At 36.8% G+C, this 15,024-nt stretch overlaps 1 protein-coding gene across 5 annotated transcripts in view; it reads right to left on the bottom strand.

Annotated features, from left to right (window-relative positions):
- Positions 2,634-15,024, bottom strand: part of IFRD1 (interferon related developmental regulator 1) — a 54,030-nt gene continuing 41,639 nt past the window's right edge. For 4 of the 5 annotated variants that reach the window (NM_001007245.3, NM_001197080.2, NM_001550.4 and 1 more), the window contains 4 exons: positions 11,722-11,856; positions 7,490-7,618; positions 6,976-7,071; positions 2,634-4,407 (listed from right to left, as the gene is read on the bottom strand). In NM_001007245.3, coding sequence (NP_001007246.1) covers positions 4,318-4,407; positions 6,976-7,071; positions 7,490-7,618; positions 11,722-11,856 — 450 coding nt within the window. In that variant the 3' untranslated portion in view covers positions 2,634-4,317. Of the gene's footprint in view, positions 4,408-4,601; positions 4,696-6,975; positions 7,072-7,489; positions 7,619-11,721; positions 11,857-15,024 lie in introns of all 5 variants that reach the window. The other variant, NR_120333.1, reaches the window with a different exon arrangement.

Below are 15,024 nucleotides of genomic sequence, written 5' to 3'. Positions count from 1 at the left end.
AATCTCCCAACTACCTGATCTGCCTTGAGCCATGTATCCTTTGAAGATATAATAGAAGTAACTGCCTCATTTTGGGGCGTTTACTACTTTTCCTCTCCTGTAACTTCTAACTTTGTGGAATATTAACTTCCCCTGAAGGAGGAAGGAAATGGAGACTAAGGAATTTAATTGTTGAGGGATACACTGATTATAAGTGGCAGAGATGAGATGTAAACCCATACCTCGCATTCAAGTCTGAATTGAACTATACACCAGTGAGGGGGATAAGACTGCCTTTAGACCAGTTAGACTTCTGGAAAGCCACTTAAGAACAAAGCAAGACAACCTACTTCATTTTAACTATAACATACCTGCAAGACCACCTTTAAGAAGAGTTTTGGGGCCGAGTGCGGTGGCTCATGCCTGTATTCCCAGCACTTTGGGAGGCCGAGACAGGCAGATTAACTGAGGTCGGAAGTTCGAGACCAGCCTGACCAACAAGGAGAAACCCCATCTCTACTAAAAATACAAAATTAGCCGGGTGTGGTGGCACATGCATGTAATCCCAGCAACTCAGGAGGCTGAGGCAGATTATACCATTGGACTCCAGCCTGGGCAACAAAAACGAAACTTCATCTCAAAAGAAAAAAAAAGAGTTTTGGGTCACAAAAAGAGATATTCTCACATGAAGTGTCTAATCTAGGGACATTCTCAAGTATTTGCTTTTTCTTTCATATATTACATCTCAGGGTATCTAAATTCACTCCCAGGAAATTTAGTACCCATCAAAGAGGAGTCACAGACAATGAATACTTCAAAATGCTTGAGCCTCAAAATAATGAAAGCGGGCAAAATTAATCAAGAATCAAGCAATGAACAACTAGTCTATAACACAACATTTTTCTACTTTCAAGAAAACACAAGCATTCTTACACATTGAACACCCAGCCACCCTTGTCTAGCAGTTACCACAAGTTTCATGAATAAAGTCACCTGCATATAAATTCAACATGCAGATTAACACTCTATACCTTCTTCCTCCCAAAAGCCCAGTAAAAAAGCAGGAGTACAAATTACAAAACCAGAAAAATTAAAATAGGAAGAAACAATACTGAAGAGCTCAATAAATGTATTGAACATGGTAAGAAGAGTGGTATCTGCCTTAGCAGGGCTATCACAGATGAGTGACAGTAGGACTGATCCTGCAGAATTCAGGCAGGCCTAGGATTTAGAGGCAAGAGTGTGGCATGGAGCTACACAGAGGCAAGTAATTTAATGCTAGCCAAAAACAAAATGCAATACAAATTGGAAAATTGTCTTAGAGAAATATCCCAGACAGAAAAAAAAAAAATAAATAAGGCCCAAGATTCAATTTGGGAGCTCCACTATGTCATAGAGTTCCAGAACAAAGAAAATGAGGAGGAAGAGAAGAGATGAAGAACTTAATATTTTCCAGGTTGCCAATCCCACCAAAGCACAGTATCATGCAATTTTAGAACACTAGAAACAGAGATGCTGAGAAAACAAAGAAATAAAAATAAAAACTGCATCAGATATCTCAAGATTTTGCAAATTAGAATAGAGCAATGCCTTCAAAATTCTGAATTTGAATACACTTGTCAAAATTTTCAAAAATTCCAAATTTGATTTTCCACCTAGAATTTCCATGCAAACTATCTTTCAGAAATATGAAGTCACTAAATAACTGACTGATCTCTCACGCACTCATTCCCAAGAAACTACTGAAAGAAGTGCTCCATGTTAACAAAGAAGTAAATTAAGACATGGGATCCAGAAAATGAGGGATACAATTCAAGAGAAAGAAAAACAAATCCTCACGATAGTGCTGTCTCAGGAAAACTGCTATACAATTGGATGAGAGAAACTAGTCTAGATTGAAACAAGTACAGAATCAAGAAAAGTTGTGACAAATTTATTTGGGACTGTTTGGGAAGAATCAATGATGTGCATAAAAAGCCAAAAAAAAGAGCATTAACTCCAAGACAAAACGTTGTATGAGAATGAAAATGTAAGCACATTAAATTAATTCACGAGTGAACATACAAGTATGATCACAGCTATGCAAACAGGTACATGATCTAACCAAAATAATATTAGAAGGATGTGAAACAATAAAAGAAATTTTCACCTGTCTTAATAGTAAGTTGACAAACACCTAAAAAATAAATGGCTGTATAATCATATTATTTAGAAACCTAAAACCAAAAACTGAAGGCTGAAAGAACCGAGCTAGAAAAAACTGAAGGCTGAATGTCTCTTGGGATGGGACTGAGGAATAGGAAAGGATGGAGCAAGGGGCTTTCCTTATTAGCCTTGAAGTACCATTAAACTATGTTCAGGCTGGGCACGGTGGCTCATGCCTGTAATCCCAACACTTTGGGAGACCAAGGCGGGCAGATCACTTGAGGTCAGGAGTTCAAGACCAGCCTGGCCAACATGGTGAAACCCCATCACAACTAAAAATATAAATTAGCCAGGTGTGGTGGAACACACCTGTAATCCCAGCAACTCAGGAGGCTGAGGCAGGAGAATCGTTTGGACCCTGAAGGCAGAGGTTACAGTGAGCCAAGATTGCGCTACTGCACCCCAGCCTGCGCAACAGAGGGAGACTGTCTCAAAAACAAACAAAAACCTATGTTCATACAACACTTTAATAAAAATTCATTATTTATTTATAATTACATGTACATACATATATGCATTTGAATATCTAGAAGAAACTACCATTTGCAATCTCTTTTCCATGGTTCTAACCTACTTGGAACATAACCAAGTGACAACATACAAACAAGTTCTAGATTCTAAACCTGTTTTCCACTGCACTGTAACTGGGGGATGGGACTCAGCAACAGTGACTCCATAAGCCAGCAAATGATTTTCACCTAGAGGGAGCACCAGACTTCCAAGAGTTGTTGGGATGTGGGAGGGGAACACTAGTTTGGAAAAAAGACCTTAAATGATTTTGATACTTCTCCCTACAGTATATATGCTTCCCTACCCCTCACGGCGACCTACAGCAAGAGTATCAAAGAAACAAGTCTACGGATTTGAAATGGCATGTTGCTTGCACTATATATTTTAATCTAAAGTTTATTAAATGTTAACGTGTTGTCAAAATGCTTTTCATAAAATGAAAGAAATATACCTCATGGGCAAACAAGCAGCAATATTCTTTTTTGTTTTGCTTTTGAGACAAGGTCTCACTCGTCACCCAGGCTGGAGTGGCACAATCACGGCTCACTGCAGCTTTGACCTCCTGGGCTCAAGTTACCCTCTTGCCTCAGCACCCAAGTAGATAAAGAGTAGAAGCACACACCACCACACTCATTTTTTAAATTTCTGGTAGAGACAGGGTCTCGCTATGTTGCCCAGGCTGGTCTCAAACTGGGCTCATGCCATCCTCCCGCCTCAGCCTCCCCAGAGTGCTGATTATAGGCATGAGCCACACTGCATGTTGCCAAGCAGAAATATTCTTGAAAGTCAGAAACCTTAATCCCAATTATGTATTGCTACATTCTTTTCATCTACTTTAATGTTTGTAAATATACACATAAAGCTTTGTCTCCCTGCCCACCTGGCCTAGTCATTTTGGACTCTGTACCTCAAAGCCATAAATAATATTTCTTCTATTAGAAGAGAAGCACTTTCAGTGTGGAAAAAAATCTTTATTTCAAAGTAAAATGCACAAAGTCTCATACAGCAGATAAAATCAGTGTTACTGCTCTCAGATGTTAAGGTTAGCAACCTTTCTGGCATATGCTAATTCATCATGAACTCCCAATAGCTGAACTGAATGGCTTTTAAGTACAGCTATAAGGTCTCATGGTATAATTCCTTTTGTTGATGCCAGTGACAGGATTTTAAAAGCTACATTCCATTAAAAATTAAAAATACAGCAGCTTTTCCAGGGGAACTAGATCCCAAAATTGTACCCAGAACTCTTGTCTAAGATATTAAGTTAAATATCTTGCATGTATATATCATTATAGTAAATCAGTATTCTTGACAACCACAGTGTAAGAAATTAAACTTTGGCTAATTGTTTTCCCCATCATGAAATCAGTCTTTTGCTGTCTTCATAAATAAATTATGACCAAACATTACAAATACTTTATACATGTTTACTGATTTACAGAGAATATTTAATAATCAGAACTCACCAGTTTCAATAGTATTGTACATTAAATTATAAGCAATATAACCACTGCTACAAAAGTTATCTAAGTTAATCCAGGATAAAAACTGTGTCTAGAGTTTAAATACATTGAAATAGAAAAAAAAATAGAAATTAGAAAATAGTCTTCAAGTTCTGAAAATCTAGAAGAATTCTCCAACATCTGCTCTCTTATCTCGACATTTGCTTCTAGCTTTGGTTCGAGCTTTGAAGGCTGCAGAGTTATATAAATGCTAAAATGAAAAAAAGGAAAAACGTGCATCAGTAAGACTTAAGATATTCTTACAAAACAGAAAAAGGGTAAAAGTCACAAAGAAAAGAAATGAACTAATTTGACCCTATAAACATTTAAATGTTTATAAAACACACACAAAGAATGAAGGAGAAAAACAAAGAGTTAACAGGGGCCATGCAAGGTGGCTCACACCTGTAATCCCAGCACTCTGGGAGGCCGAGGTGGGCGAATCACGAGGTCAGGAGATTGAGACCATCCTGGCTAACACGGTGAAATCCCGTCTCTACTAAAAATACAAAAAATTAGCCAGGCATGGTGGCACATGCCTGTAGTCCCAGCTACTCGGGAGGCTGAGGCAGGAGAATCGTTTGAACCCGAGAGGCAGAGGTTGCAGTGAGCCGAGATCACGCCACTGCACTCCAGCCTGGGCAACAGAACGAGACTCCGTCTCAAAAAAAATAAATAAATAAAGAGTTAATGGCTATTCCATATTAAGAAAAGTACTAATCAAATTGTAAAACGCCAAGAAAGTTAGACGATTTCAAAAACCAACAGTGAAAAATGGACATCAACATTGTTTCATCCAAGAAAAGACAAATCATGACTAATGCAGAAAATAGTCCTACTTGGCTGTCAATTAGAACAAGGAAAAAAGTGATGAAGTGCCATTTTAATATCAATTAAATAAACACATTTTTTAAATTATAAAACTCAATGGTGTCAAATCTTTGTGTAACAGCTACATGCCTTCATTCATTGCTGGAGACAATTTAAATATCGTCTCCAATATAAGAGTAACTTTGGAAAGTAATTTGGCAATACATTATGCAGGGGATTTCTTCAAAAAAATTATTCAAAAGAGAGAAGTATGTAAAAATATTAATGTTTCTTAAAAAAAACTTAAAATGCCGTACAAGAAACAATTATGTGGATATAAAACTGATAAAATATCCAGGTTCTATAAAATGTAATTAAACACTTCACACCCACCAGAATGGCTATAATTAAAATAATTATTAGTGAGGATGTGGAGAAACTGGAACCTTTCTTTCTACATTGCTGATGAGAATGTAAACTGGTGCAGCAGCTATGGAAAAGAGTTTGGTGGTTTCTGAGAAAGTTAAATGTAAAACTATCATCTGACCCAGCACAATTCCACTCCTAGGTAATACCTCCCAAAATTGCAAAGAGCCTTTCAAAAAAAATTTTGTATGTGAATGTTCAGAGCAACACTATTCACAACGGCCAAAAGATGCAAACAGCCCAAATGTCCATCAACTGTTAAAATGGATAAACAAAATGTGATATATATCCATACAATGGAATATTATTCTGCCACAAAAAAGAATAAAGCTCTCTGAATTCATGCTACAACATGAATGAACCTCCAAAGCATTATGCTAAATGAAAAAAGCCAGACACAAAAGGTTGCATGCTATATAACTCCATTTGTATGAAATCTCCAGAAAAAGTAAATCCAGAGACAGCAGATTAGCGGTTGCCAGTGGCGGGGGGTAGCACAAGGGAAGTGACTGCTAATGAACAGAAGGTTTTCTTTTGAGGTGATAATGTTTTGGAACTAGAGTTGTACAACATCATGAATGTAATAAGTGCCACTGAACTGTATACTTTAAAATAGTCTGTTATATGAATTTCATCTCAGCACAAAAAAAAATACATAAATTAAGGATTTTTGAAATGCAGGCTGGTCATGGTGGCTCATGCCTGTAATCCCAGCACTTTGGGAGGCCAAAGTGGGTGGATCACCTGAGGTCAGGAGTTCGAGACTAGCCTGGCCAACATGGCAAAACCCTGTCTCTACTAAAAATACAAAAACTAGCCAGGTGTGGTAATGCACACCTGTAATCTCAGCTATTCAGGAGGCTGAGGCAGGATAATCACTTGAACCTGGGAGGCAGAGGTTGCAGTGAGCCGAGATTGCACCACTGCACTCCAGTCTGAGTGACAGAGCAAGATTCCATCTCAAAAAAAAAAAAAGAAATGTTAAGTAAAAATGATATTAATTACTATTTAACTCTCTTAAGTTTCCTCATTTGTAAAACGAGTCTGGTACTTCACTTAGCAGGCTATTATCTGATACAAAAGGACTATGTAAATACTTATTCTTAAACATAAAAACTCCAAAGAATAAAAAGAAACAAATAATGAACACCGTTCCTATATTAAGATAGAATTATACGTAAAATATATATGTACATATTAAATTTTAACGTGTTGTCAAAATATGTTTCATAAAATGAAAGAAATACACCTAATGGGCAAACAAGCAGCAATATTCTTTTCTCTGTTTTGCTTTTGAGACAAGGTCCCACTCGTGTCACCCAGGCTGACACATATATACACACACACACACACACACACACACACACACACACACGCCCCCCACACTCTAAATGCTTTCTGTATCTTTAGTACAGCTATTCTATGTGAAGCATCATGAAAAACTAAAACTCCACATATAGGTAGACACAGCTAAGTTGCTGACACTAGACAGAATCAAAGCTTTGGCGCACTTAGTTTTATTAAAAATAAAAACAAAACCTACCCTTTCGAAACGAGAAATCTTCATCGTTTTAAGCGTTGCAGCATCAAGCATCACTGGGGGTCCAAGTTCAAATACATTTCGAAGGAATTCATTTGACTTATGTGAAAGAAAAAGGTGGTATGGCTCAGTATTAAACATTATAGCTCTTTTTCACTAGACAGAGTGACTCTGATTAACAGAAGTTATGTGGAACCCACAGATAAACTTAGATCACTTATTTTCTGTTTCTCAATAGAAAGCAAATTGTTTTCAATGCCTTGAATCCAAGACAGCTATGTCAAGCTATTTGCTTTCATACAGACATCAGTAACCGTCCACCCAACTTTAACAATACAAAGAAAAAAAAAGGAACAGCTTCAGATTTATTCAAGTCTACTTTCAAAAACAAGTTTACTGTTTTCTAACATGTGGAAGCACTCTGGATACCTAATTAATTTCAAAAGCCAATTAAGTGAGCTATATTCAAGACTGCTCCCTACTTTAAAAGCAAATATGTAGAAAGGATGACACTTACCTGCAAGTGGTACTGCATCCCTGATCCAAGAACCTCCTTAAAGGTGTCATAGGTGTGTTTTTTTACCCAGCAATCAATATACATGCGTTCAGGACCAAATTTAATGGTTTCTGTTGGAAAATCCCGTTCCTAACCAATGGAAGAACCAAAATTACCACAGGCACTAAAATGGCTCAGAGGGATCTTATGTAAACACAATTTCTAAACAGTCATATACATGCTGAGATAAATGAACAATATGGCTTAAACTGATACTGCCATACCTGAGATGTGGACAAACTGTTGCTATCCTGTATGTAAGGGTGTAGAATTGGTCTAGTTTTGATAAACTTGAAGGCACAACTGAGTTTCAGTAACAATTAAGGCAAAAACCACATTGTTGAGAATACCTTTAAATTTCAACAGCTCTCAACAAACTTAAAAAAAGTCAGGTGTTTTTAATGGCCTAGGATGGGAGAGGGAAGAAAGTTGCAGAACAGTCAGGAAAACAAAATGGCACCACAAGCAGGGGGTGAAATGATGGGCAGTAGGGATCCAGGGAAGGAAGTGAGGGTAAATAGGGTTAACTGACCAAGCAAAAAGGAAAGGTCCAGCAACCAGAAGGGCTCCAAGAGGTCTCAGGCTAGGTTTCTAAGAAAATAAGAAGTAACACTAGAATCTAAGATTTTAGTGATGAAACAATTCTGTCAGAAGACCATTTCGAAGGTGTAACCATGGGAGTGCAGCCCAAATGACACAGAAACAGAAGTCAGATGGATTAAAAAAAAAGTCAGCTGGAATAGTGGCAGAACTTGTTAAGAAGAAAACTGGCTACTTAATTCTTTGGTAAATCATGAGTATGTCAGAGTAACCAGGAAGGGAGGAGCTGACTGCCACAGGGAGAGGAGAAAGGAGATGGAACTTGAATGACAAAACCACTCCACCTGCCTTCCAGACATCTACCTCAGCCCCTTCTCACTCAGCAGACAAAGTATATAATGTAATAGAAAAGACCGTCAACCCTAGACTTAATACAGACATGCAACTTGCGGGCTTGTGATTTCATCAAGTAACTTAACCTTGCTGAGTCTGTTCCCTTGCCCGTAAAATGGGGCCATCTTTACCTATACTGCATGAGGGTTATTAGAGGTGTAAAAGAGGACATGCATGTGAGGCAAACACAGTGACCGTCTGGTGCGTAACAGCAGCTCAAAAATAAATAAATAAATAACAGTAGAGTTATCTTATTTCAATCTTCTTTAATTCAGAAAACATTAAGGCACCAAGAAAGAACTGTTTCCCACCAACCCTCTATAAAGTCATCAGCATCCTTACCTATTATCCTCTTTCCTGTTGGTAACAGACAAACCTCTGTCCCTCCACAATTCAAGGTTAATCTCAATCTTTTACATATATAGTCAATCCTCCATATCTGGTTGGTTCTGCATCACGGATTCAACCAACCATGGACTGAAAATATTCAGAAAAAAATTGCAACTATACTGAACATGTATAGACTATTCTTTCTTTCCACTATTCCCTAAACAATAAAGTATAACAACTATTTACATAGCACTTACATTGTATTAGGTATTATAAGTAATCTACAGATGATTTAAAGTATACGTGCATAGGTTATATGCAAATACTATGCCATTTTATATCAGGGACTTGAATACTCAAATTTTGGTATCTGAGGGGGATCCTGGAACCAATGCCTCATGGATATTAAGAACAGACTACATTTTCAGATGCTCCTTTCTCCACAGGTTCCTTCTCCATAAATTGTCTCTAGTATCTAGAACAAAACAAAACAACAAACCTTCCCGCAATCTGGCACTACATTCCAGCTATCAACTCTCTTCCCCTTCCCATCACAGCCAAGGTTTTTAAAATAGTCAAGGCATACCACCTTCACTTAATCACTTCTCACTTTTCAATCCACTTCAGTCTGGCTTTTCCCTCATCACTCCACTGAAGCTGCTCTTATAAAGGTCACCAAGGACCTAATCGACGGACCTAAGTGAAACGTTACTTTCTCACTTGACCTATCTGTATATAGGATTTGGCCATGCTCAAAGAGCACAGAACAGTGGGTTCAAATTTCAGCTCTGCTACTTAACTATTCTGTATTCCTTTGGTCCCCATTTCTCCTTTAGAAGGAGACTATTCTATTGCTTAAGAGGTATAATGAGATAAGAAAACTGTATGGCAAAACACCTAAAACATTAAGTGCTTGCTGATTTGAGGAATCCGTGAGCCTCAAGAAATGTTTTAAATAAAAAGAAATGGTGTGGCAGCCACTACCACAACTAAGATGTTTACATATCCTTTGTGGCAGTTGAGCAACCTTCATTTAAAGACCCATCCGAGAAGCTGGGTGCTCCAGAAAAAGCTAGGTTCCAGTGAAAAAAAAAAAAAGAGAAACAACTCTCAGCAAAGCCCTGAGGACAGGCCTTTCTCAGGCAGGTGCATTGAAGCAGAGGCTGGAGGGACAAGGGAGATCCTGAGATGAAGAAAAGAAGGTGGGCGGGTAGATCACTATGGGATAGGAATGGTTTCCATTTAACAGTGCCTGAGGAATACACAACAAAGGGCTGTTAATACTGGTGTAAGCTGAAACGTCACTTGTGTCTTCCTCTGAATAATCAGTACTGAGTGCTATGGCTGGCCCGGTTTGAGGGCCAGTAGAGACCCTTACAATCTACTACTCAAAGGGGATGCATGAGGGCAGAAAACTTGAAATCAGGTCCATCCAGAAAATCTAGGACATGTCATCATATCTTTGGAGACTACAGTAACTCAAAAAAAAATCAAATATAGGAATAGTTTATAGTTACTTAAAGAAAATGGCTTACTTTAGAGATACTGCCACACTAATTATAAGACTAATTTTTAATTCTTAATATTGATATTTGCTCGAGTTAGGGGTTTTTTTGTTTTTTAGACTATAAAATCCAGAGTAAATATAAAATCCTACTATAATGTGATAAGAGTCAGCATTAACCAAAAGTATTTAGATCCCAAAGGATCTAATTTGTATCCTAGATTTTACTTTTCTAAAAATAGATTAAAATTAGGAAAGTAGGGTATATATAAGAATTCACTGGAACATATTAAAACTGGATCTGGGGTGGGGTCTCACCATCTCCAGTTTAAATTCTCATTTTAAATTTTCACACACACATCAAGTTGAATGACATTTTGATGATATTCTTAAAATAACTGCTGTATCAGATAGCAATAATCTAAGAAACACACCCTTCAAATCCAAGAAATATTTACCTGGCCTACCAAAAACAATTTACCTGGCCTACCAAAAAATATTTACCTGGCCTACCAAAAAACAATTATTAAAGTTTTCAGTTTTCTCCAGTGAGATATCTTTTGTCCTATAGTTCATTTTAGCCATGCATTCTAAACCAATTTATTTGCCATATAGATTGAAACAGGTTTGAGGATTACAGAAGAAATTCAAGCATCAGATAATGATTTTAAGTGGCCTTGTTAAAATGCTGGGTTTTGTTATTTCGGTTTTTAGCCTCCAGCTTTCCTAGAAAGATCATGAAGATCTCTGGCACGGTGGCTCACGCCTGTAATCCCAGCACTTTGGAAGGCCGATGCGGGTGGATCACAAGGTCAGGAGTTCAAGACCAGCCTGGCCAAGATGGTGAAACCCTGTCTCTACTAAAAATACAAAAAATTAGCCGGATATGGTGGTGGGCACCTGTAATCCCAGCTACTCAGGAGGCTGAGGCAAAGAATTACTTGAACCCGGGAGGCGGAGGTTGCAGTGAGCCAAGATCGTGCCACTGCACTCCAGTCTGGGCAACACAGCGAGACTCCATCTCAAATAAATAAATAAATGACAATCAAGCTGGGTTGGAGTCTAAGGGGTAGGCAATAACTTATTAAATTCACAAAAAACACTGTACACTAAGAATGTATATGCTAAGCACCATGGTTTAAATGATGACAAATACACCAAGGTCAAATACATTTCTATCACTATGGGTCTTTTTATTTAAAAGAAAAAAAACTAAAATAAAGTATCTTTATACACCAGCATTAATTTTCTTTTGTTTTGAAAAAAAAAAAGTCTTCACTTATATTGTTAAAAACCTGCTAGGTCGTAAAATGAGAAATTATTTTCAAAGGTGAAATTCAATCAACAAAATGGTACAATTGTCAAGTTCAGCCTGAAACAATCCAATTTCAAAATGAGAAGCTATTACAGCATTTAAGAAGCCTACCTCCACTGCCCTCAGGACATCTCTGAAAACTGACCGCTGCTTTCTCTTGTCCACTTTGGCCCGGTGTTTATTTCCATCTGTTGCCAAGGCCCTAAGCATCTGCGTCAAGGACTCCATGTCTTCATAAAAAAAGTCCTGGACAAGAAAAGCAATTTTGTTTCCTTTATTATTATTTTTCTTTTCTGACCTCATATAGAGCTAACAAAGAACAGTCTACATTTGGAAAATATCCAGTTGCATAAGGCAATGTAAATCTTCATGGTATTTAGGGACTAGGCACACATAAACACATGTTTTCATGCAAAAATCGAACCCAGAAATGCTGACTACAAGATGATGTACTACAGCAAAACAATTAACATTTCCCTTCCAAGTAAATGCATCCAACAAATATTTCTTGTGTTCCCACCATATATAAGACATTACTGGGATTTCAAAGTTCAGTGAGAGACAGATATACCAATATAGCTTCTACCCTTGGCTCCCCAGTCCCCAAACCAAACATTCACAGACTTCCAATTATTCTTATCCCAAAGGCATAAAGCTACAATTAAAGCATCTACTTTCTAATTTACTGCCATATTTCAAATAAGCAATAAAGCACATAATTCAGGTGATTAAATTATTTAAGGTAAGAACAAGTTTTAATCCCTTTTGGGGGACAGCTGCAAAATGTATTGAAATTTGCTGTGACCTTAAGCAGATTATGGGCTTCCTTGTCACAGTTAACGTGGCTATGCATTTAAGAAGTCTCTTTATTTGAGGTGTTTTTATTTCCTAACTCCATTTTACAACCACACTAAAAACTAAAAAATGAGTCAAACTTATTTAGCTGATCAAAACTAGAACAGACACTTCTTACTAAGAAGCCAGGAGATGGGCAATCTCCAGTTCTAGTTTATTCATACATGTTTAACATTTATTGCATTAGAGGTTAAGAATCATTTAACTTATTATATTAATATAACAGCTCTTCTAGGCCTTCTTGGTTTCTTTTAATGTCTAAAATGAAAAGGATTATTACACTGGTGGAAAATAAGCTTGAAATTAATGTGACAGATATTCTAGCTTTTAAGTACATAAATATCTTCTTGTCATATTTCCAATTACATATTCTTAACTATTCCAACAAATGTTTTCTTCAAATGTTCCAATTCAACCTCCTATATCTAAGTTAGAGACAACACCCATTAATAAGATGCAAAGTGGGTATTAAAATAGACCAAACTGTGTTTAAATTCCAAAGAATCAGATTGCATCATAACAAGATGGGAATAATTTTATTTATAAAAAACAAGTACATTTCAGGGACTAGCAGTCTCCTACTCATTTTATTGGCTACTTGTTCTTTTACAGTATTTTAAACATATATATGTGTGTATATATGTATATGTAAAGGGTTTTTTAATTTGTATAGAAGAATAAATCAAAATTTAAGAAAATTCTATACATTATTTTAATTTGTTCTAAGAAGTGAGAATCACTGCCAGTGATTATCAACTGGGGATGATCTTACCTCCCATTGAACATCTGACTATGTCTGAGACATTTTTGGTTGTCACAACTAGGAGAAGGGGGTGCTATCGGCACCTAGTGGGGAGAAGCCAAGGATGCTGCAAAGTATCTTTCAATGCACAAGACAGCCCCCACCCCTACAATGACAAAATATAATCCAGCCCAAAATATCAACAGTGCGTGCTGAGATTGAAAAACTTCACGGTAATATAATCTTAGCAATGGATAAAACCCAATCAAGTTTAGTTTGTGAATCACCAAGTTCAATATCCTATTAAAACTTGAAAAATTAAATGCTAAGTAGTTTAGAAAAAAGACTCTATATACTTGGGCATTAAAAACACAAAAAAAGGAAGGAAGAAAATAAAATGTAACACGTAATAAAAAAGTCCATAAACAGCTTCCAAAAGCCTATTAATAGGACTTTACGATAATTATATAATAGAGCTGTACCACTCTGGGACAAATAAGAAATGAGCTCCCAGAGAAATAAATATCTTAATATACTCTTATAATAATAAAAAAAACCAGCAGTCATTACTACACAACAGGGTCAAAAGTCCTAGATCAGAATCATCAATCTACTGCTCTCCATACCAAGTTTTATAAATTATAAATCTATTTTATCATCTGAAAAAAAAGAAAATACCCAACCTTTCAAACAATGGTTGTAAGCATTAAAAAGACAATAAATTCCCCAATAAATTCTGAAGCATTAACTATTTTATCAATATTCTAGACTTGGAGGTATATAGAACTCACCTTTTTAAAAAAAATCTGTGTAGCCATCACAACCATACGAGGCAGTTTAATACCATATTTAAGACATAGGTTTTGCAGTCAGAACATCTAGGTTTGAATCACAAGCATCCACCATGTAGATCTATACAACCTCAGGCAGCACTACATTAGCAATCTGTCTCAGGCTCCTCTTATATAACAGTTATTACCACCCACATCTCCTAGGTTTTTTATAGGGAAATGAACTATTAGAAATATATAAAACACAGGACATAAACATCCATTAAGTTATAGATCTTACTGTTATGAACAGCCTGTTTGAACCTAACACAATATAAATACAACAGAATCTAACACAATATAAATACAACAAACTGGTCAGCTGAAGATAATTATTTCATAGCAAAATAACAGTTACCAATTAAATGGTTTCAAAAGTTGAATGGAATTAGGATGAAATGAAACCAAAGAAAATTTCCAGAAAAGTTTAGGCAGACAGGGTGAGATGCTTAAGGTCACAAAAGCTAACCATTCCCCAAGCTATTATTTCTATACAGAAGTCACTGGAACACTCATTATAAACAAAATAAGCTGGGTCTTGGATAGCTAAGTATTAAGAAATAAAAATCATACAAAAGCCTAATATTAAAATAAAACTTGAGGCCAGACACAGTGGCTCTGTATCTATAATCCCAACACTTTGGAAGGAGGAGGGAGGATTGCTTGAGGCCAGAACTCTGAGGCTGCAGTGAGGTATGATCTTGCCACTGCACTCCAGCCTGGGCAACAGAGTGAGACCCTGTCTTTAAAAAGACTTATTTATTTCAATTCCTGCTAATCAAGGCAGAATATCTTTGTCAAGGTATGGAGATATTTTTACACAGAGTCAGTTATTATACAAACAAGGGCAAAAAAACAAGAAGAATGCTAAGTTGCTGCTTCTGAAGTATAAAATCTAGGTGATTTCAGATTTGGCTCCAAGGAGTATATTTGGTCTTTGATTATCTTTTTTCTCGCTGTGCTGTAGCACTTCCCCTGTCCGCTCAG

The sequence above is a fragment of the Homo sapiens genome, chromosome 7 (assembly GCF_000001405.40).
Source record: "Homo sapiens chromosome 7, GRCh38.p14 Primary Assembly".
Taxonomy (NCBI): domain Eukaryota; kingdom Metazoa; phylum Chordata; class Mammalia; order Primates; family Hominidae; genus Homo; species Homo sapiens.
The sequence above is the reverse complement of the archived record's forward strand: the minus strand, read 5'-3'. Positions and strand labels throughout refer to the sequence as shown.